Genomic DNA, 20,695 nt, shown 5'->3' with positions numbered 1-20,695 from the left:
GGGACGCGTTGTTGAGGACAGAACAGAGGAAGGGGAAGAAACAGAACTTCTGTAGGGTACCTGGGGGCAACGGTGGCTGATGAAAGTTCTCACATGTGACCCTCGACAGTATCCCTGCTTCTCAGAGAGAGGGCAAGGAGAACTGAGGCAGAATGAAACCGGCCGCTCACCTTCACTGAATAGTACCTGATTGGGGCATGCACAGGCTGCTAGTTCCTCTGGAGTCTGACAGATCTGCATCATAACCTGACTGCTGCACACTATGTGACCTGGGGAGAGTGACCTCTCTAAAACGTCTGTGAAATGGAGATGATAATATAGTACCTACCCGATTGGGTTGTTAGGAGGAATAGCGCCTGGCACACGGGAAGTACTCAATGCATCCCCAATACATGCTAACTACTGTCATGATTTACACTCATATATCCATCTCCCCAGATAACCCATAAATACCTTAAAAGCAGACACCATGCCCTTACTTCCCCACAGTTCACAGAATCCATACTAGATGCTTTAAAAGTGTTGGTTGATTAATGGACACTGGAAGAGGAGACTGAGCTCCTTAGATTACATGTGACAGCATGTTCCAGTTCTCAAAGAAACTCCCTACAAGCCCTTTATTTGGGCAGAAAGCAGCAAATTCTTGCACCCTTAAAGTATATCAAAGTGTCCCCCACTTTCCCCATTTCATAGATCAAAGAAGAAATCTGTCAGGAACAAACGAGGGACCGCGAGAGCCAGGGAAATGGACAGGAGGGACAGGCTTCCCAGCCGAGGCCTGCAGCTCGGGCTCCTGCCAGGGCGGCTTTGCCCTCCCCGTGTGCAGCCTCCGCGTTCAGACTTGTGCAGCAGCTCCCATAAAACCCGCTCCGCCTTTTCCTCCTGGAGATCGTCCTTCCTTTGTCTTGCAGCTCAGTTCACGCCATAAAACCCCATGGCCAATCGTGCCTTTTCATTTGGAATGATCAAAGTGGTAGCTGTCTGATGTAGAAGCAAGCACCTTTTAAATAAATACATGTTTTTAATTCTGATTCAAAACACTACCTTGGGCTCACCTGTCCCCTAGTTTTCTGAACAAGGTATGCATTTCCCCGGTGCAGGCAGGAAAGGTCACGTGGTCGCGCCTTCGCAGCAGCAGGCCGCCGCCTATCCCGTCTGGGGAATCAGGTTACCTAGAATGTCGGGCCACTTCTCAGAGTCTGGGTAGAGGCCAGAAGGACTGGGTGCGGGGAGTGGAGGACTGTGGGGAGACTGGGTGAAGAAACCAGAAACCTGGGAGGAGGAAAACAGGTTTCCCTTTCTAGGGCGCCTGTGCTGCAGGCACATGTAGTTGGGGGCTGGAGGGGGGAGGGCGGGGTGAAATACCAGTTACTTTTGTTTGTCTTGAAACAAAGAAAGAAGAGGAGGGAGGTGCATTTTTTGCCTGCAAATATATGTGAAATGCACACCTGAAGTTGTACTGGGTGAGGACCTAAGTCATTGGCACCCACACCGTAGTGGGACAAATCAGAAGGGTCATTGTATAAGCAGTGGCTACTGAGAATGGCTGTATAATAGGCGTATTATAAAATGCACACCTGGCTCCTGCAACACTGGGGAGTGAAAAACTACTCTCAGAGAGCCATCGAGTGAGCAATAGGATGAAGGTCTTCCGTTGTGTCAGAACAAGGTTGTGCACAATATACAATTCCAGGCATTGTGCAAGTTCTTCACAGAGCCCCACGTATGCACAAGTGCGCCTGCCAACCATTTACCAACCACCAAGTCATCTCAGTATCCCCACGATTTTTTCTTAAGACAAAGGGGGAACAATTTGCACTCTGCCCTACAGAATTTGTGAAAAATCACACGCTAACAGGGAAGTTCCTCCATGGTTTGCTTCTGAGTTTACCGTGGACAGTCTGGACTAAGGCAAGGGAAGAGTTTACCCTTTTGGGAAGGCAGATAACTCTGCAGGGGAAATAGGGGATCTTCAAGATTAATCCTTAACTGGAAATGGAAGAAAAATCAGATAATATCTTTTCTGCCGTCCCCTGATACCTTCAGGAGTTCAAACGTTTTCCAAGCCCGCGGCACTTGGCAATTATAATTACACAGTAAAATACCTAAGGTTAATGAATAACCTCTAAAGGAAGTTACTTCACATAATGACAGCAATTTCTCTGAACTAAATGTTAATTAATAAGGCCTGTAATACTATGAGAAGGAAATGGTGGCAATTGGCAAATGGAACTCTGTTGCTTGGTAACAAAACCTGAGGTATGAACATTTTCTTTACCTGACGGGAAAGGGGTGGGTGGAAAGATTACAGTTCCAGCCTGAACAGTTTGAAATGCAGGCAGCTTTATGAAGCCCATGGCTGTCCTGCAGCACATAAAGTGGAAGCATATGTGGCAGATCATTTTGTTAGCAGAGAGAAGTTGGAGGGGGAATAATTCCCTAAGAATTACTTAGCAGCACAGTAAAGGAAATGGGGTGTAATCTGTAAAGAGACTGAGGGCAACTTAGTTCACATTACCTGGTACAAATCACTGCTCAACAAATAGAACATTTCAGCAAAATCCACCTAAGAGCTAAATCTTCTCCCCTGCCTCTCTGCTTCAGTTTGTTCCAATGGAGACAGACACTTTGATCCTCCTGTTTGCTTTTTTCTGTTTTAGAGCAACTGTGGCATTTGAGAGATGAATTAGAAAAGGAATGCAATTAAGACAACCTAACAGTGCAGTGTTCCTTGTAGAGGAAAACTTTACGCATTTGAACTGCAGGCGCAGATTTAGTTGAGTAATTATTGGCAGGCTGAATTGAAAAAGCCTAGAGACAACTTCTTCCAGCTGGTCATTAATCAACAGGAAATAGCCTACAACAAGGTCATTATTACCTTAAACCATTACAAGAGCATATTCAGTGAGAGGCTAAGATAAAATTGAGGGCTTTAAATCCCTGTTTGTTTTATGGCAGTGGTTTTCAAATCTGCCAGAATATCTACATCACCTCAACAGCTCTTTTTAAAATGCAGATTCTGGGGCCCCACTCTTGGAAAGTGATACAGTAGATCCAGGATAGGTGCCTGGGAATGTGTACTTTAAATTCTCCATGGTGTTCTCATCATCAGCCAGGTGTGGAAACTGTTGCTCTAAATTATGTTAGCAGTAGAGTTTTTTGCTTTGACCAAAGATAGAAAGTGAGAGTGAATACTCTTTTGCACTTGAATATATTTTCATTTCTGCTCTAAGAGAAGTTTATCTATACAATTAAAGATAAATATTCTAAGTGCATTATTTTTTCATTTTTTAATATTAAAAAAGTGTTAAAACTGAATATAATACCAAAAACAGTTGACTTTCTGACTATACCATCATTTAATTAAAAGCTATTTTCTGTAACTTGAGCATCTTCCTAAGCAGCCAAATAAAATCATCTGCCATAGGAGTCTTAAAAGGCTCACCCTTTGCCCACAAAATGGGCCAAGTTTGTCCCCTAATCTTGGTTATTTTTTCATGGTGTTCCCTATGAAGCATTGGCCAATGCTTTTAGAAGCCCTTGGTAGACTTCTTTCTTCCAATTTTCGCTTCACCACATGCTACCTCTGAGTTCTCTCTCCAATTCTTTGATTTCTTTAAAAATAATAATCTGCTATTATTTAGCTGTGGGTCTTAATGGACTAGTATTATTTTGGCCAAATAACACAAGTAATAGACAAATAACTAGGTGGGTGGGCAACTTGATTCAAAGGAATGACTCTTGAATAGCAAGATGTTTGGGACAGATTAAAATTCTGGTCCTGAAAATGATAATATCTTATACACAGATGGCATTCTGAATCTTTAGGGTCTCTGCATTCTAAAGATCTTTAGGATCACTATGCACAATGTAGGGAATTACATATTAATAAGGCTTTCTAACTATATTCAAAGAAATTAAAAGCCATCATCACAAGGTCAAGAGATTGAGACCATCCTGGCCAACATGGTGAAACCCTGTCTCTACTAAAAAACTACAAAAATTAGCTGGGCGTGGTGGCATGCACCTGTAGTCCCAGCTACTTGGGAGGCTGAGGCAGGAGAATCGCTTGAACACAGGAGGTGGAGTTTGCAGTGAGCTGAGATTGCGCCACTGCACTCCAGCCTGGCAACAGAGCAAGAAAACGTCTCAAAAAAAAAAAAAAAAAAAAAAAAAAAGAAAAGAAAGAAGAAATTAAAAGCCATCGACTAAATAAATAAAAGAAACACCATCAAAATAATTAAAAATAAACACTACCAGAATGTGTAGATTGCCTGAGCCACAAGAAATGGGTGCCTCACAAAGGGTAGAACTGATGACAAAAGCTATTCCCATTTTCCCCAAATCCCATACAAGTCCTTAACATGGACATTTAGAAGCCAGAATTAGGTTCACCTTAACCCCAAATCCTAATTTATGAGAAAGTTCTTTAAAAGAGATAAAGTCTCTACCCTTACCGCCAAACTCTGGGACTAGCAGGAACTTCTGAGTACCTCCACTATGGTACTGATAATTCTCTGGACATTTAGAACAACTCTCTTCATCCCCAGTCCTGCCCCAAAAGACATACAACACCTTAAAGATTACTTAGAAATTCTGATTCACCAACCTGCTTGAACTGAGGCTGCCCAACATTGTTGAAAGCTGGGAGAGCTGTTTACCCTCACATCTTGCAGTTCGAATGTGAGCCTTACGGAATGTGATTGGCCAGGCAGAGAAAAGCTACTCTTCCCTGAACACTCCTGGCCACTCCCAACAACCTCCCTTTGCTCTCACAGGACTTTTGCGGGTAATCCCAGTGACACCTTTCATGAGGCATTGTGATAGTGTTGACTTATCTGTCTCCTACATTGGAATATAAACTCTCTGAGGGCAGAAAGTGGATTTTACTCAATTACTTTCCAGGGTTGAGCTCAATACCAAGTATATTAAAGGGTTAGATACTGATGACTAATAAATGCATAAAGATTGTCAAAGAAAACCAGAGCTAAAAAGTAAAATAATAAAAAGAGATTTTATTCAGGACTATTGCAATCTGGAAAAAGTACAGAACTCAGTATAGAACGATGCTCAATTCTTTTTTTTTTTGAGATGGAGTTTCGCTCTTGTTGCCCAGGCTGGAGTGCAATAGAGCGATCCCAGCTCACTACAACCTCCGCCTCCCAGGTTCAAGCAATTCTCCTGCCTCAGCTTCCTGAGTAGCTGGGATTACAGGCATAAGCCACCATGCCCAGCTAATTTTGTATTTTTAGTAGAGATGGGGTTTCTCCATGTTGGTCAGGCAGGTCTTGAACTCCCAGCCTCAGGTGATCCACCCACCTCGGCCTCCCAAAGTGCTGGGATTACAGGCGTGAGCCACTGCACCCGGCCGATGCTCAATTCTAAATACAGCATGAGGAAGTAGGAATTTATAGCCAAGAAGACTGGAGGTTGGAGGATAAAAAAATTACTAAGAGGAATATCAGGGCTAAGGGGAGATTCTGACCAAACTAACCTAACAGCATTTTGCTGAGGCAGGCCGGGGTGATCAGACATCACCTGAAAGATGGTGGAGGATGAAGAACCCATCTAGGCATAGAGGGTGGTCAGACATGGAGGATGGGAGATTCATGCTAAAGTTAGCAGGCTTCATGCTAAAACTGGATTTTATAAGGAAGTGCACAGATGGGCCTAGGAGAAGTTTCAGGAGCCTGACTAAAATTTGATCAAGCAAATAATCTTTGTCAAGATCTATGCTGCTAAGGATTGCTTTCTCTGTGTTAACCATTATCTTCTCATTTCTCTTTTTTTTTCTTTTTTTGAGTGACACGCTAGAGTGCAGTGACATGATCACATGTCACTGCAGCCTCAGCCTCCAAGGTTCAAAAGATCCTCCCACCTCAGCCTCCCGAGTAGCTGGGACTACAGGTGTGCACCATATCCAGCTAATTTTTTAATTTTTTGTAGAGACGAGGTCTCACTATGTTGCTCAGGGTGGTCTTGAACTTCTTAACTCAAGTGATCCTCCCACGTTGGCCTCCCAAAGTGCTAAGATTACAGGCATGAGCCACCGTGCCTGCCATCATTTTTTTTTTTTAAAGAAGACAAAATACTAGTGATGCACTTAGTCACTGATACATTAATAAGAATTGTTACAGCTGGTGATTCTTTTGCAGATCAGAAACTCTGGTGGACTTGAGAATATAGTCAGAAAGGCACACAAAAGTCAGAGTAAATAATAATGGGAAGAGACCTTTTTGCCAATATTTCACCCTGTCCACAGGTTGATCCCAAACAATTCATTTTTCCCACCCCAGGGGACAGGCGGCTGTATAATGCTTGGTGATTTGCTTGATATGGGTTTGTCCCATAACCCACCACTAGGATACTGAAGACAAAATATGTACCCTACTTGAGGCCTAAAATGGATAGTGATAATTTCTTGGTAAATTACTTACCTGGTACAAAAATGCACTACTCAAAATAAACTTATGGCAATTCTGACACTAACCTATAATAGATCAGCAAGGAATGTAAGATAGGTATGAAGAAGGTCTGGAGGTTTAATCATGGAATCTGGAGTCAGAGAGACCTTTGTTAAATTTCTGGTTCAGTCATTTTACAACCTGCATTTCCTTGAGCTGGTAACCTAACCATCAGATTTCTCATATGTAAAATAGTAATAGTAACACCCCTACTTTCTCACAGGATTGTTTTGGATCAGCAATAAAACAACTGGCCACTGGCATATAACAACAGTAGGTTTGATGCTTTTATCATGTGCTTAATAAATGTTAATGAAATAAAACGGAATGGAATGGAATGTACTAAGACAGCATAGCCCATGGTTTTTCCTCCTAGGATACACAGCCTACTTTAGACTCTTCATTATTTCTTTTATTTTTTATTTTTTTTGAGACAGAGTCTCGCTCTGTTGCCCAGGCTGGAGTGCAGTGGCATGATCTCGGCTCACTGCAACCTCTGCCTCCCGGGTTCAAGTAATTCTCCTGTCTCAGCCTCCTGAGTACCTGGGATTACAGGCACGCACCACCACGCCCAGCTAATTTTTGTATTTTTAGTAAAAATGGGTTTTCACCATGTTGGTCAGGCTGGTCTCAAACTCCTGACCTCATGATCCGCCCATCTTGGCCTCCCAAAGTGCTGGGATTACAGGCATGAGCCACCGTGCCCAGCCAACAATCTTTATTCTTAGTGCACAAGAGAGTATTAGGATTTGCTAGAAGTTGAGTCCCCATAACACAAAATGAATGAGAGATTAAATTGTTTTCCAGTTAATTTGATCACTAAACATTGTTAAACTCCATAATTTTTTTATTTTTATTTATTTAATTTAGATGGAGTCTCGCTCTGTCGCCCAGGCTGGAGTGCAGTGGCACGATCTCAGTTCACTGCAACCTCTGCCTCCCAGGTTCACACCATTCTCCTGCCTCAGCCTCCCGAGTAGCTGGAAATACAGGCGCCCGCCACCATGCCCGGCTAATTTTGTGTATATTTAGTAGAGACGGGGTTTCACCGTGTTAGCCAGGATGGTCTCGATCTCCTGAGCTCGTGATCCACCTGCCTCAGCCTCCCAAAGTGCTGGGATTACAGGCGTGAGCCACCGCACCCAGCCAAACCCCATAATTTAAATTATCATACTTCTTGGTTTGACTAAATGTGTATGCTCAAAACTGTAGAACTGCTTCTACTGGTGCGCATCAAGGACATAGTATTATGAAACCTTAATCTTTAAAATCATGGACCTTGAAAAACCTGCCCTTTTTAAATCTCATCAGGGATTACAAGTCAAAATGAAATAGCTTTAAGCTGAGTAGGTTAAAGCAGCATAGCTTTGGTCCAAGAGCCAATCAACATTATTCCCTACTTCTGTTAAGAGATAATAAAGGCCGGGCGCGGTGGCTCACGCCTGTAATCCCAGCACTTTGGGAGGCCGAGGCGGGTGGATCACGAGGTCAGGAGATCGAGACCATCCCGGCTAAAACGGTGAAACCCCGTCTCTACTAAAAATACAAAAAATTAGCCGGGCCTAGTGGCGGGCGCCTGTAGTCCCAGCTACTTGGGAGGCTGAGGCAGGAGAATGGCGTGAACCCGGGAGGCGGAGCTTGCAGTGAGCCGAGATCACGCCACTGCACTCCAGCCTGGGCGACAGAGCGAGACTCCGTCTCAAAAAAAAAAAAAAAAAAAAAAAAGAGATAATAAAAAGTTTTCTCTTTTCTTTTAGAAATAATCAAAACCCTCTGCACTCACTCAGAAGTGTCCATAAGTCCTGTTCAAGTAATCTTAAAAGAGACTGTTCCAATATTCGATCTGCCTCGTTCAACAAGGTAAATTTAGCCTTTTCCCCTAGAATTGACAGTCTGTTTATCTGAACAACAAAACCCATAGTATGTGTAGTCCTTAAAGCCTCTTTGAGGAAGAAGCCCTGATCTGAATGTCCACTTTTAGGTAACTTTATGCCATTACCATTGGAGAATTGAGGCTTCTCTTTTTTTTTTTTTCTTTGAGACACAGTCTCGCTCTCTCGCCCAGGCTGGAGTGCAATGGCGCGATCTCGGCTCACTGCAACTTCCGCCTCCCGGGTTCACGCCATTTTTCCGCCTCAGCCTCCATAGTAGCTGAGACTACAGGCGCCCGCCACCATGCCCGGCTAAATTTTTTTGTATTTTAGTAGAGATGGGGTTTCACCGTGTTAGCCAGAATGGTCTGGATCTCCTGACCTCGTGATCCGCCCGCCTCAGCCTCCCAAAGTGCTGGGATTACAGGCATGAGCCACAGCGCCCAGCCGAGGTTTCTCTTTTAAACCCATGTTCCTTAAACATTTTTATTCCTGTAGGGTACTTACCCCTGTCTTATGTCCTCTAAAACGTAGCATATGTGGTTTCTGCTCAGAGTAAATTCTCAACACTGGTGATATCAAAGGATACAAATTGGGTATCTCCAGGTGCCTGGGATTTTTGAGTTTGACTTGATGAACACCGATCAGAATGTTAATGATCTGTCCAATGCCTATTTCTGGTTCACCTTCAAATTGACTTCTCAGGGACTAATAGTTCTCTTACTGTGTCCGGAATTGGTGGGTTCTTGGTCTCACTGACTTCAAGACTGAAGCCGCGAACCCTCGCGGTGAGTGTTACAGCTCTTAAGGTGGCGGGTCTGGAGTTTGTTCCTTCTGATGTCCGGATGTGTTCGGAGTTTCTTCTTTCTGGTGGGTTAGTGGTCTCACTGGCTCAGGAGTGAAGCTGCAGACCTTTGCTGTGAGTGTTACAGCTCTTCAGGCAGCGCGTCTGGAGTTGTTCATTCCTCCCGGTGGGCTCGCAGATCTTGCTGGCTTCAGGAGTGAAGCTGCAGATCTTCGCGGTGAGTGTTACAGCTCATACAAGCAGCGTGAACCCAAAGAGTGAGCAGTAGCAAAATTTATTGCAAAGAGCGAAAGAACAAAGCCTCCACAGTGTGGAAGGGGACCTGAGCAGGTTGCCCCTGCCGAATAGGGCAGCCTGCTTTTATTCTCTTATCTGGCCCCACCCACATCCTGCTGATTGGTAGGGCCCAGTGGCCTGTTTTGACAGGGCGCTGATTGGTGAGTTTACAATCCCTGAGCTAGATACAAAGGTTCTCCATGTCCCCATCAGATTAGTTAGATACAGAGTATGGGCACAAAGGTTCTCGAAGGGCCCACCAGAGCAGCTAGATACAGAGTGTCGATTGGTGCACTCACAAACCCTGAGCTAGACACAGGGTGCTGATTGGTGTGTTTACAAACCTTGAGCTAGATACAGAGTGCCAATTGGTGTATTTACAATCCCTGAGCTAGACATAAAGGTTCTCCAAGGTCCCACCAGAGTAGCTAGATACAGAGTGTTGATTGGTGCACTCACAAACCCCGAGCTAGACACAGGGTGCTGACTGGTGTGTTTAAAAACCTTGAGCTAGATACAGAGTGCCGATTGGTGTATTTACAATTCCTGAGCTAGACATAAACGTTCTCCAAGGCCCCACCAGAGTAGCTAGATACAGAGTGTTGATTGGTGCATTCACAGACCCTGAGCTAGACACAGGGTGCTGATTGGTGTATTTACAATCCCTGAGCTAGATGTAAAGGTTCTCCACGTCTCCACCCGACTCAGGAGCCCAGCTGGCTTCACCCAGTGGATCCCGCACCTGGGCTGCAGGTGGAGCTGCCTGCCAGTCCCGTGCCGTGCGCCCGCACTCCTCAGCCCTTGGGTGGTCGATGGGACTGGGCACCGTGGAGCAGGGGGTGGCACTCATAGAGGAGGCTGGGGCCGCACAGGAGCCCACGGAGGAGGTGGGAGGCTCAGGCATGGCGGGCTGCAGGTCTGGAGCCCTGCCCCGGGGGAAGGCAGCTAAGGCCCGGTGAGAAATCGAGCGCGGCGCCGGTGGGCTGGCACTGCTGGGGGAACCAGTACACCCTCCGCAGCCGCTGGCCCGGGTGCTAAGCCCCTCATTGCCCGGGGCCGGCAGGGCCGGCTGGCTGCTCCGAGTGCGGGGCCCGCCGAGCCCACGCCCACCCGGAACTCCAGCTGGCCCGCAAGCGCCCGCGCAGCCCCGGTTCCCGCTCGCGCCTCTCCCTCCACACCTCCCTGCAAGCTGAGGGAGCCGGCTCCGGCCTTGGCCAGCCCAGAAAGGGGCTCCCACAGTGCAGCAGTGGGCAGAAGGGCTCCTCAAGTGCCCCCAAAGTGGGAGCCCAGGCAGAGGAGGCGCGGAGAATGAGCGAGGGCTGTGAGGACTGCCAGCATACTGTCACCTCTCATTACTTCTCATGGCCCCAAAGGGTGAGGGTAGGGGAGATGGGGAAGGAAAACTCTTTGTGCCTGAATTCCAGGCCTACCCCTTGATTCTGATTAAAACCAAATTCCTTCCAGCCACCCAAATCCAAACTCTGGGGCTTTCTGGATTCCACTCCCTTTTTCATCTTCCTGGGCACAGAGCCCCAGGTCTGTCACCATGAGCTGCCTCTGCTCCATAGCTTCCATGTGCAATCTCCGAACCCACCATCGTCTGTCAAGCTTCAAGTCCCCTACCAGCTCTGTTCCCCATACAACTTCCTACTGTAACCTACTCTAAAACCTTATCTAAAGTTTTAGTCTTACTTTTTTTCTGACTTTTGGCTATCACCTCTTGTAAACTCAACATCTCTCCCAAGTACCATTCTTAGCATAAATTTCCAAAACCAATCACATTTCATTACTCTCTGAGGATGGGGTAAGGCTCTATCTCATGATTTTGAAGCAAAGCCAATATCCTGCCTTGTCAAATTATCAATGGGATTTTCACTTCTTTTCTGGGAGCCCCCCACTTATCACCTCTGGGTGTATGTGAAATAAACTATTTCTCCTGTTAACTTGTCCTTTGTAAGTATAATTCACAGGCTCCAATCACTGACCCTAACTAAGAAGGTAGAGGAAAAGTTTTTTTTCCTTCTTCTATGCATAGCTTACAGTGTGCTGCATACAGTACATGCTAAATAATTTTTGAGGAGATAAAATTATTTCATTTAGTCAATCTTGATCTCAGTTATGTCCAGACTAAGTGGAAATCCAAAAACATTTAGTTAATTTTAGCAGGTGAATGGTCAAATTAGATAATACAGACACTGCAAATGAATTCAGTTTTGGTATTTTGCTGCTGTATCTGGGATATTACCTGAAACTACCAACCCCAAAGAAGTGGTTAGATGCAGGAGCTTATGTATTATCTTAACAAAGAGTGGTGAGGTGTGGAGAAGAGACTAGACAAATGAATGGTGTTGGGCCTCTGAGGTGGGGATAAGTTGTGGAAGGTAATTATAAACTATATGGTAAATAAGGTTTATTTTGCAGTTTGAAGTCCTCTTAGGTAATAAAAGGCATCTCCAGATGAGGGGAGATTTACAAATTGTCTATATAAATACAAATTTCATTTACAAATGTAAATTTCCTTTACAAAAGGAAAATTTCTGCCCTGATTTTAGGCAAAAAGGTGAGGAAGCAGAGAATTATTTTTGAATGGCTACTGCTTAAAGAGTTGCCTGCGTGAGGTTTGGTGGCAAGAAGCAGAAGTCAGAGCCTGTGGTTCCTGTTGCTCTTCGGCGGTATGAAAGAGAGAAGAAGGCGTGCTTCATTATATGAAGCTTTGCTCCTAAGGTACAACTCTTGTAGACCTCCCGGACTCACCCAATTTCCTCATAGGCTTTTGCATTATCTTAAAAGATGTTTCCCTTAGTAATATGGAGGAGACAAAATCAATAATGTGCAATACATTTAATCAACACGAAAACCTGATTCTATCAGGAGAACAGATTAAAGGAGTCTTGCTTAGACTCCAGGGTAATTGACAGTTTTTCTGCCTTATATGTGGAATGATTATAACAAGTTGTAATTCAGATAATGAACTTCTTAATGCAGGAAGTTCTTCATTCAGGAAATAGAAGTTGGTGAAATTGAAACAAATTTATTAAGTAAATAAAGGGAAAAGCACAAAATACTTAGTGGCTAGAGTATTATCAATTGTAAAGAAGATTTGGAATAGAACAGTTAGGGAGCTATAATTCTTCAGTTTTTATACTGTTCTACCACTCTAGTATGTTGCTATAATTCTCTGAATTAATTTTTTTAAAAATACAACAGCTGTCTGGAGAAACCAATTTGATCTCACTTTTATTTTATTTTTTAAATGCATTTGATTATGTATATTTGAGGTTTACAACATAGTGTTATGGGATACATATAGTAGTAAAATGGTTACTATAGTGAAGCAGACTAACATATCTATCATCTCACATAGTTACTTTTTTGTGACAAGAACAGCTAAAATCTACTTATTTAATAAAAATCTCCAATACAGTATAATTTTACTAACTTTATTACTCATGTTGTACATTGGCTCTCTAAACTGCTTTGTGCTGCTATTTTGATCGCTTGACCTACATTGCCCCCATTTCCTTTCCCTCCCACCCTGCTCCACATCCCCACCCCCATCCCACCCATGGTAACCACTGTTTTGTTCTCTGTATCTGTGTATTTGAGCTCTTTTTAAATATGTATATATTCTACATAAAGGTGAGATTATATAATATTTTTCTTTCTGTGTCTGGTTTCTTTCACTTAGCATAATGTCCTCCAGGTCATATTGTGGTAAATGGCAGAATCTCCTTTTTAAGGTTGAATAATATTCATATATATATATATACCATGTTTTCATTATCTGTTTATCCACTGATGAACATTTAGGTTGTTTCCATATCTTAGCTATTGTGAATAATGCTGCAATGAATGTGAGAGAGCAGATATCTTTACAAGGTAGTGACTTCATCTTCTTTGGGTGTATACCCAGAAGAGGGATTGCTGGGCCATATAATAATTCTATTTTTAATATCTTTAGGAACTTCCACACTGTTTTGCATAAGGGCTGTACCAGTCTACATTCCCACTAATAGTGTACTAGGGTTCCCATTTCTCTACCTCCTTGCCAACATTTGTTATGTCTTGTCTTTTTTATAATAACCATCCTTACAGGTGTGAGGTTGATATCACATAGCAGTTTTAATTTGCATTTCCCTGATGATTAGTAATATTGAACATGTTTTCATATTCCTCTTGGCCATTTTTATGTCTCTTTAGAGAAATGTCTGTTCAGGTCCTTTGCTTATGTTTTAATTGGGTTGTTTTTCTGCTATTGAGTTATAAGAGTGCTTTACAAATTTCTGATATTAACCCCTTATCAGATATGTGGTTTGCAATTGTTTTCCTAGTCCATAGATTGCCTTTTCATTTTATCAATTGTTTCCTTTGCTGTGCAAAAGATTTTTGGTTTGATGTAGTACCATTTATTTATTTTTGTTATTGTTGCCTGAGCTTTTGGTGTGATATCCAAAAATTCATTGCCAATACCAATGTTCAGGAGTTTTTCCCCTGTGTTTTCTTTCAGGAGTTTAATGGTTTCAGGTCTTAAATTTAGGTCTTTTATTCAGTTTGAATTTATTTTCATGTATGGTGTAAGATAAGGGTCCAATTTCACACTTTTGATGTAAAAAATCCAGTTTTACCAGCACTGTTTATTGAAGAAATTATTCTTTCCCCATTATGTCCTTTCTGTGCTCTTGTCAAAAGTCAGTTGATCACATGTGCTTAGGTTTATTTCTGTGCTCTCTATTCTGTTCCATTGGTCTATATTTCTGTTTTTATGCCAGTACCATACTGTTTTGATTACTATAGCTTTCTAATATAATTTTGATTCAGAAACTGTGATGCCTTCAACTTTATTTTTCTTTCTCAGCATTTCTTTTACTAGTCAGAGTTTTTTGTGATTCCATGTGAATTTTAGTATTTTTTTCTATTTCTGTGAAAAATGCCATTAGACTTTTGATGGGAATTGTGTTAAATCTGTATATTGCTATAGGTAATAAGGACATTTTAACAGATTAATTTTTCCCACCCATGAACACAGGATAATTTTCCATTTATTTGTGTCTTCTTCCATCTCTTTCATCATGGTTTTATAGTTTTCAGTATACAAGTCTTTCACTCCCTTGGTTAAATATATTCTTAGATGTTTAATTTTTTGCTATTATAAATATGATTGTTTTCTTAATTACTTTTTTGGTTAGGTCATTATTTGTGTATAAAAATGCTACTGATTTTTTTTTTCAGGTGGAGTCTTGCTGCATCACCAAGGCTGGAGTGCACTGGCACAATCTCGGCTCACTGCAACCTCCTCCTCCCAGGTTCAAACAATTCTGTCTCAGCCTCCCAAGTAGCTGGGACTACAGGTGCCTGCCACCACGCCTGGCTGATTTTTGTATTTTTAGTAGAGACAGGGTTTCACCTTGTTGGTCAGGCTGGTCTCAAACTCCTAACCTCAAGTGATCCACCCGCGTCGGCCTCCCAAAGTGCTGAGATTACAGGCGTGAGCCACCGTGCCCCACCAATGCTACTGATTTTTGTATCCTGCAACTTTACCAAATTCATTTTTTTGGTTCTAAATGTTTTTTGTGGATCTTTGAGGCCTTCTACATAAAGGATAATATCTCAAATAGGGATAATTTTGCTTCATCTTTCTGAATTTAGATGCCTTTTTTTCTTCTCTGATTGCCCTTGTTAGTACTTCTAATACTACATTGAATAGAAGTGGTGAGAGGGGGCATCCCTGTATTGTACTGATCTTATTAGAAAAGCTTTCATTTGTACCTGTTGATTATGATCTTAGCTGTGAGCTTTTCATAAATGGTCCCTATTATTTTGAGGACCTTTCCTTCTATATCTAAACTGTTAAGAGTTTGTATCAAGAAAGGATACTGAATTTTGTCAAATAGTTTTTCTGCATCAATTGAGAGGTTCATGTGGTTTTTCTCTTTTAGTCTTTTAATAGATGTGTTACATTGATTGACTTGCATGCCATGCATAAATCCCACTTGTACACCACAGGGAAATCCCACTTGGTTCCGATGTATAACCTTCCTGATGTGTTGTTGAATCTGGTTTGCTAATATTTTATTGAAGATTTTAGTATCAAAGTTCAAGACTTATTGGCCTGTAGGTTTTTTTTACTTGAAGTATCTTTGTCTGGCTTAGGTATCAAGGTGACACTGGCCTCATGAAATATATTTGGAAGTATTCCCTCTAGCTCTATTTTTTTTTTTGGAAGAGTTTAAGAAGTATTGGTAATAATTCTTTTTTAAATGTTTTGTGAACTTCTTCTCTGAAGTCATCTGGTTCAGTGCTTTTCATTGCTGGAAGGTGTTTAATTACTTTAATATCTTTGTTATTGGTTTGTTCGAGCTTTCTATTTCTTTTTGAGTCAATTTTAGTAGGTTATATTTTTCTAGGAATGTATTCATCTCTTCTAGGTTATCCACATTGTTGACATATAATTTTTCATAATAATCCTTTATGATCTTTTTTATTTCTGAGGCATCTGTTGTAATGTCTCCATTTTTATTTCTAATTTTATTTATTTGAGTCTTCTCTCTTTTTTTCTTAGTCTAATTAAGGGTTTGTCAATTTTGTTTTTTTCCTCAAAGAATCAACTCTTGGTTTTATTGATTTTTTTTCTATGGTTTTTCTGTTCTTTATTTGATTTATTTCTGATCTTTATTATTTTCTTCTGCTAACTTTGGGTTTGTTTTTAGCTTCTTCAAATATAATGTCAGGCTATTTATTTGGGATCTTTCTTCTTTTCTAATATAGGCGTTTTGAGTTTAGTTTGTTCTTTTTCTAGCTTCTCAAGGTATAATGTTAGGCTATTTATTTGGTATCTTTCTTCTTTTTAATTTTTAATTAATTTATTATTTTATAAAGACAGTGTCTCATGTGTAATCCACGTCAGTGATGACCATGAGTGCCTCAGAGGCCTAGGCTGCAGGAGTTTCTGGCAGCAGTGATGGCAAGGTAGATTTTGTGAATTCCTAGTGGTAAGGGATCCTCCTGTTCTTATTTTCCCCAATAGTGGAGAGACTTGGATGAGGGGATCCCTCTTGGCCTTGGGTCTGACATGAGCCACAGGCAGCCACAGCAGTGCTGTGTTCCAGGGCACAAGTGCTCAGAGTGGCTATGGAGCTGAAGTCCTGAGCTGATCCCAACCAGGGAGACGGTATGACAGAGGCAAGGTGTTCTGCTCCCTTCTCGATGTGGCCATCTTGAGTTTCTGCACCCTGCAGGGTTTCTGCCACACCCTTGCTATGCTCCAGCACTCTCTTTTAGTCATTCGGGTTGAAATGTAGTTGTTTGTTCATTGTTTTAATCCATCTTTTGAAGGAGAGTGATAGTCGACCATCTCACTGACATCAATTTGACCTCTGTTTTTAAACTTTTCTCCAAGATTTAGCTACAAGCTAAATTTAATTGCATAAACTGGTCACAGCCTACATAATGGACAAGGCTTATATTTACCTTCATAGCACCATATTTTCCAGTCTTCTGGGACTGGCCTCCCTCACTTCCTATAAGGAAAAATAAAACTGGGCTTCCCTGCATTTTGATGGGTCTATGTATTCTACTGGTCTGGCTCTCCCCTTGACCACAGGGAGGCCCATGACTAAGGCCCAGGTAATTGGAGTAACTCCCAATGGCTCTATCAGTTGGTCCGGGAGTGAGCACCTGCCTAAAGGTAAGCCTTTCTGAGCCTTTCTTTTCTGGAGATTTCCCAAATGAAGCTGGAAAAAGGAGGTTTCTTTCCTTTGGCATTGCTAAGCCTTCCCCCAGGAATTGCCTTGTAACTTTGGAGCTGCCTACAGCCATCTCCATTCACAAAGTCATTCGAAGTGATGGAGAATGAGTGATCGCAACAACAGAAGAAAGATTTAAGGCAGAGAAATGGAAAGACAGTCGTGATGCTTCCAGCTCTGCATCCAAATGACTCAGAAGCCCACCCCATCTCTTCCTCTCCGATTATAACAGCCACCAAATTCCCCTTTGAGGGTAAACTTATTTGAGGTCAGAATGCATTCTGACCAATACACCTATATATCCAACAGGATTGGCAAGCAAACTATGGTACAGTCATAGAGTCAAAATTGTATGGCCATTAAAACGATCTTACCAAAGTATAGTTTTCAATAAAAGTTACATGAACAGATAGTATGCAAAGATGATCTGATATATTAAGTGAGAAAAGCTAGTTACAAGGCAATATTCATTGTATTATCTAATTTTGTTAAAAATAGTTTAATAACTAGAGACAATAAAATTTTAATGGCTTTTTTCTGGATGGTGGAATTACACATAATTTTTTATATTTTATAATTTTTACTTTTATGATAAGAAAAGCAATGCTAAAAACCAAGCCTTTGGCCTAATCTTTTTATAGGCCTATGTACAAATTAAAACTTAATCGCCCACTCATTCATTTGAATTTTACCATGCCCCTTTCTTTCTAAATAAGTTTCCTTTAACATGGTGACACATCATCCCTTTCCTTTTTCAAGCATCGGCACTTTAAAAGATGACATTTATAAGGATAGTAAATTATCAACACCTTCCGTCAGCATAGTTTATGGCTTTTTAGCTAGTGTAGGAGTTCACAAAAGAAACATTTTCATCTAAATGAAGTCACTCATTTAGAAGTAACTTTCTAATTATTTTCTCCATGGTAACACATATAACACATATAAAATATGAAAAAAATATGTTTATTCAAGTTTTTTTCTCTTTCATAACTATTTCAAAAAGCCTTAAGTGTGTTTTATACCTCCTTAAAAATTTCACCCTGTAGATGGGGTTCATTTTAACACTAAAGTCTGGGGCTTTGCACCAATAACCTGACTCTATTACTGCATTGCATTCCTGATGAAACGCACTAAGAGTTTAAAGTTTCTTTATTAAAATTTTTTCTCAAGAAAATGACTCTGAGCTTTGGAAAGCACTTCTAAAATAATGTCATATGAAAAGTGAACCTTTTATTAGACCTCAGACCACAGAAGAATCCCATGGAATTTTTTCTAATATAATTAACCCCTTCATTCGAGAACATAAGAGCTGGAGTATGGTTTAATAGGTAGATTTAGAGGCTTCTGTGCTTCCAGTAATCCTCCTTTCATCAAAACAATGGCTATAATTAATATTTATGATTTTGCCTTTCTCCTCAAAGGACTTTACAAATTGTTACCACTTACTAATGACACTTACTAATGAAGTACTTACTGCTCAGTCCAAAAGAGAAATTTACAGTCTTCTCAAGTTTGTTCCACAATGATGTGGCTACAAAGGAGGGTTGGTTGTGAGTTGATGGATTCAACTCCCCATTACCAAAAGAATGAGTCAGGAATGGGAAACCAATCAGTCAGTTCCAAACTGATTCCCCAAAGTTTGTGTGGCAGGATCACTGAGGATCACTGTTTTGATTTGTATTGTTTTATTCAGGATCTCCCACTATGATGTCCTATAGGGGTAGGTAAATTACAGCTGAGGGCCTGTGGCCTCAACCTAATTTTATAGCTACCCTTCTCCCTCCACCTCTCCTATCCCACCCACAGTGAGTTACTTTTACATTTTCAAATGATTGTTTAGAGGACAGAAGAAGAATATGTGACAGAGACTGTATGTGACCTGCAAAGCCCCAAGTATTTATTATCTGGTTCTTTAGCGAATAAGTTTACTCCTCCCTGAAAATCTAAGGCACAATAAGAAAAGTCGAACTGTAAAGCTGTTGCAATTCCAGCTATAAACATTGTCTAACATTCATGAAAGTGTCATTTAGAAACTTGGACTTAGTGTACAGAGATAAATATACTTTGTGGAAGCACATTTCAGGTGTCAGCTTTTTTTGGAGTCAGCACATTACTCTGGACTGACAGGATATAGACCTAAAAAGACCAAGTTCATGTACCAACATGCATATAGGAAACACTATACACACACAGGATATTCATCTACAACTTGGAGCTAACATCAAATAGGCTTGTTGGACTTTAGCACCACTCAGCAATAGTACTGAAAGAAAAGAATAAAAAGGAAGAGAAACCCAGCTCTTGGTGCACAACAATTTGGGAAGACCTACAGGCAAGACTGAGCCCATTCAGGCCAAACAGAGTCAGCACAATAGCAGCATGACTGTCCCACTGTATACCATTTGCATAGACTTCTACTTAGTTTTAGTTTTATCAGCAATTTGTCTGTTATTTATAAGCCATACCTCTTCTTAGCAACAACAAAAAAGGTAACATTATTAGATTCCCAATATATTAGCAACAAAAGCTACTTTTTGTGTGAGACACTGTCCTAAACTTGCTACATATATCATGCCCTTTGAGCCTCCAGTAAGACAGACATTGCTCTCCTCATTTTACAAGGGCTCATAGTGGCACGCCCCACATAATGGAAGCCATCTGAAGTAAGGTTAGTGAGGCTCATGGGAACAGCCTCTGGTTCATGTCAGCCTTTCTGCCAAGTTCATTACTGAACGCAGATCCCGTGTGACAGACTTTTCCATCAAAAATCCAGAATCCTATTGGAAAATGAATCAGATACAATTCAAAAATTGGTCTTTGTTGTCCCTATCTTTGGAAGGGGTAGTTAAAAACTAACCACAAAAATGTACCCCAATGTGGTGACGACACTATTTACAATATGATGCAAAAGGCTACCTCCTCTAACCCCACAGTGGGTACCTGAGCAGATGGCTAATGGTGAGTGGAAGCCAGAAGAAACCAAATTAAACGCAGGGACCAGACTTACAGAATTCCAGAACCAAACGATTGGAGCTGCTCACATGCCTTGGAAAGGGACCTAACACCATGAGATTGTGGGTCTGAATGAATGCCACTGGCCCTCCCAGTTGCTGTTGTTTCTTCTACACAGAGATACAACAACATTCACGTACATGTTTGCCACTCATCTGGCTAGCACTTAGCATTTTGAAAGCGTGATCCATTTCTTTTTTTTTTTTTTTTTTTTTTTTTTTTTTTTAATGAGACGGAGTCTTGCTCTGTCACCCAGGCTGGAGTGCAGTGGTGCAATCTCGGCTCACTGCAACCTCCGCCTCCCGGGTTCAAGCCACTCCCCTGCCTCAGCCTCCCAAGTAGCTGGGACTACAGGCACATGCCACCACGCCCAGCTAATTTTTTGTATTTTTAGTAGAGAAGGGGTTTCACCATGTTAGCCAGGACGGTCTTGATCTCCTGACCTCGTGATCCGCCCACCTCAGCCTCCCAAAGTGCTGGGATTACAGGCGTGAGCCACCGCGCCCAGCCAGTGTGATCCATTTC

General features: G+C 41.7%; 1 long non-coding RNA gene across 1 annotated transcript, besides 2 other annotated features; it reads left to right on the top strand.

Moving 5' to 3' along the window:
• Positions 283 to 866: an enhancer, noted in NCBI's record as "H3K27ac-H3K4me1 hESC enhancer chr4:124468793-124469376 (GRCh37/hg19 assembly coordinates)". NCBI's record gives its function as "activates a minimal SCP1, AML or CMV promoter by ChIP-STARR-seq in primed H9 embryonic stem cells {active_cell/tissue: H9 hESC(primed)}" and the evidence as "EXISTENCE:reporter gene assay evidence [ECO:0000049][PMID:30033119]".
• On the top strand, positions 1,988 to 20,351 carry LOC105377405 (uncharacterized). The gene is made up of 4 exons (XR_939171.3): positions 1,988 to 2,259; positions 8,222 to 8,324; positions 11,969 to 12,140; positions 14,646 to 20,351. It is a non-coding gene; the product is annotated as an uncharacterized LOC105377405 (long non-coding RNA).
• Positions 12,004 to 12,204: a silencer, noted in NCBI's record as "peak5100 fragment used in MPRA reporter construct". NCBI's record gives its function as "represses an SCP1 promoter by STARR-seq MPRAs in K562 erythroleukemia cells {active_cell/tissue: K562}" and the evidence as "EXISTENCE:reporter gene assay evidence [ECO:0000049][PMID:32103011]".
• Positions 20,352 to 20,695: the final 344 nt, after the last annotated feature.

The sequence above is a fragment of the Homo sapiens genome, chromosome 4 (assembly GCF_000001405.40).
Source record: "Homo sapiens chromosome 4, GRCh38.p14 Primary Assembly".
Classification (NCBI taxonomy): Eukaryota; Metazoa; Chordata; class Mammalia; order Primates; family Hominidae; genus Homo; species Homo sapiens.
This window is presented reverse-complemented; position numbering and strand designations above follow the sequence as displayed.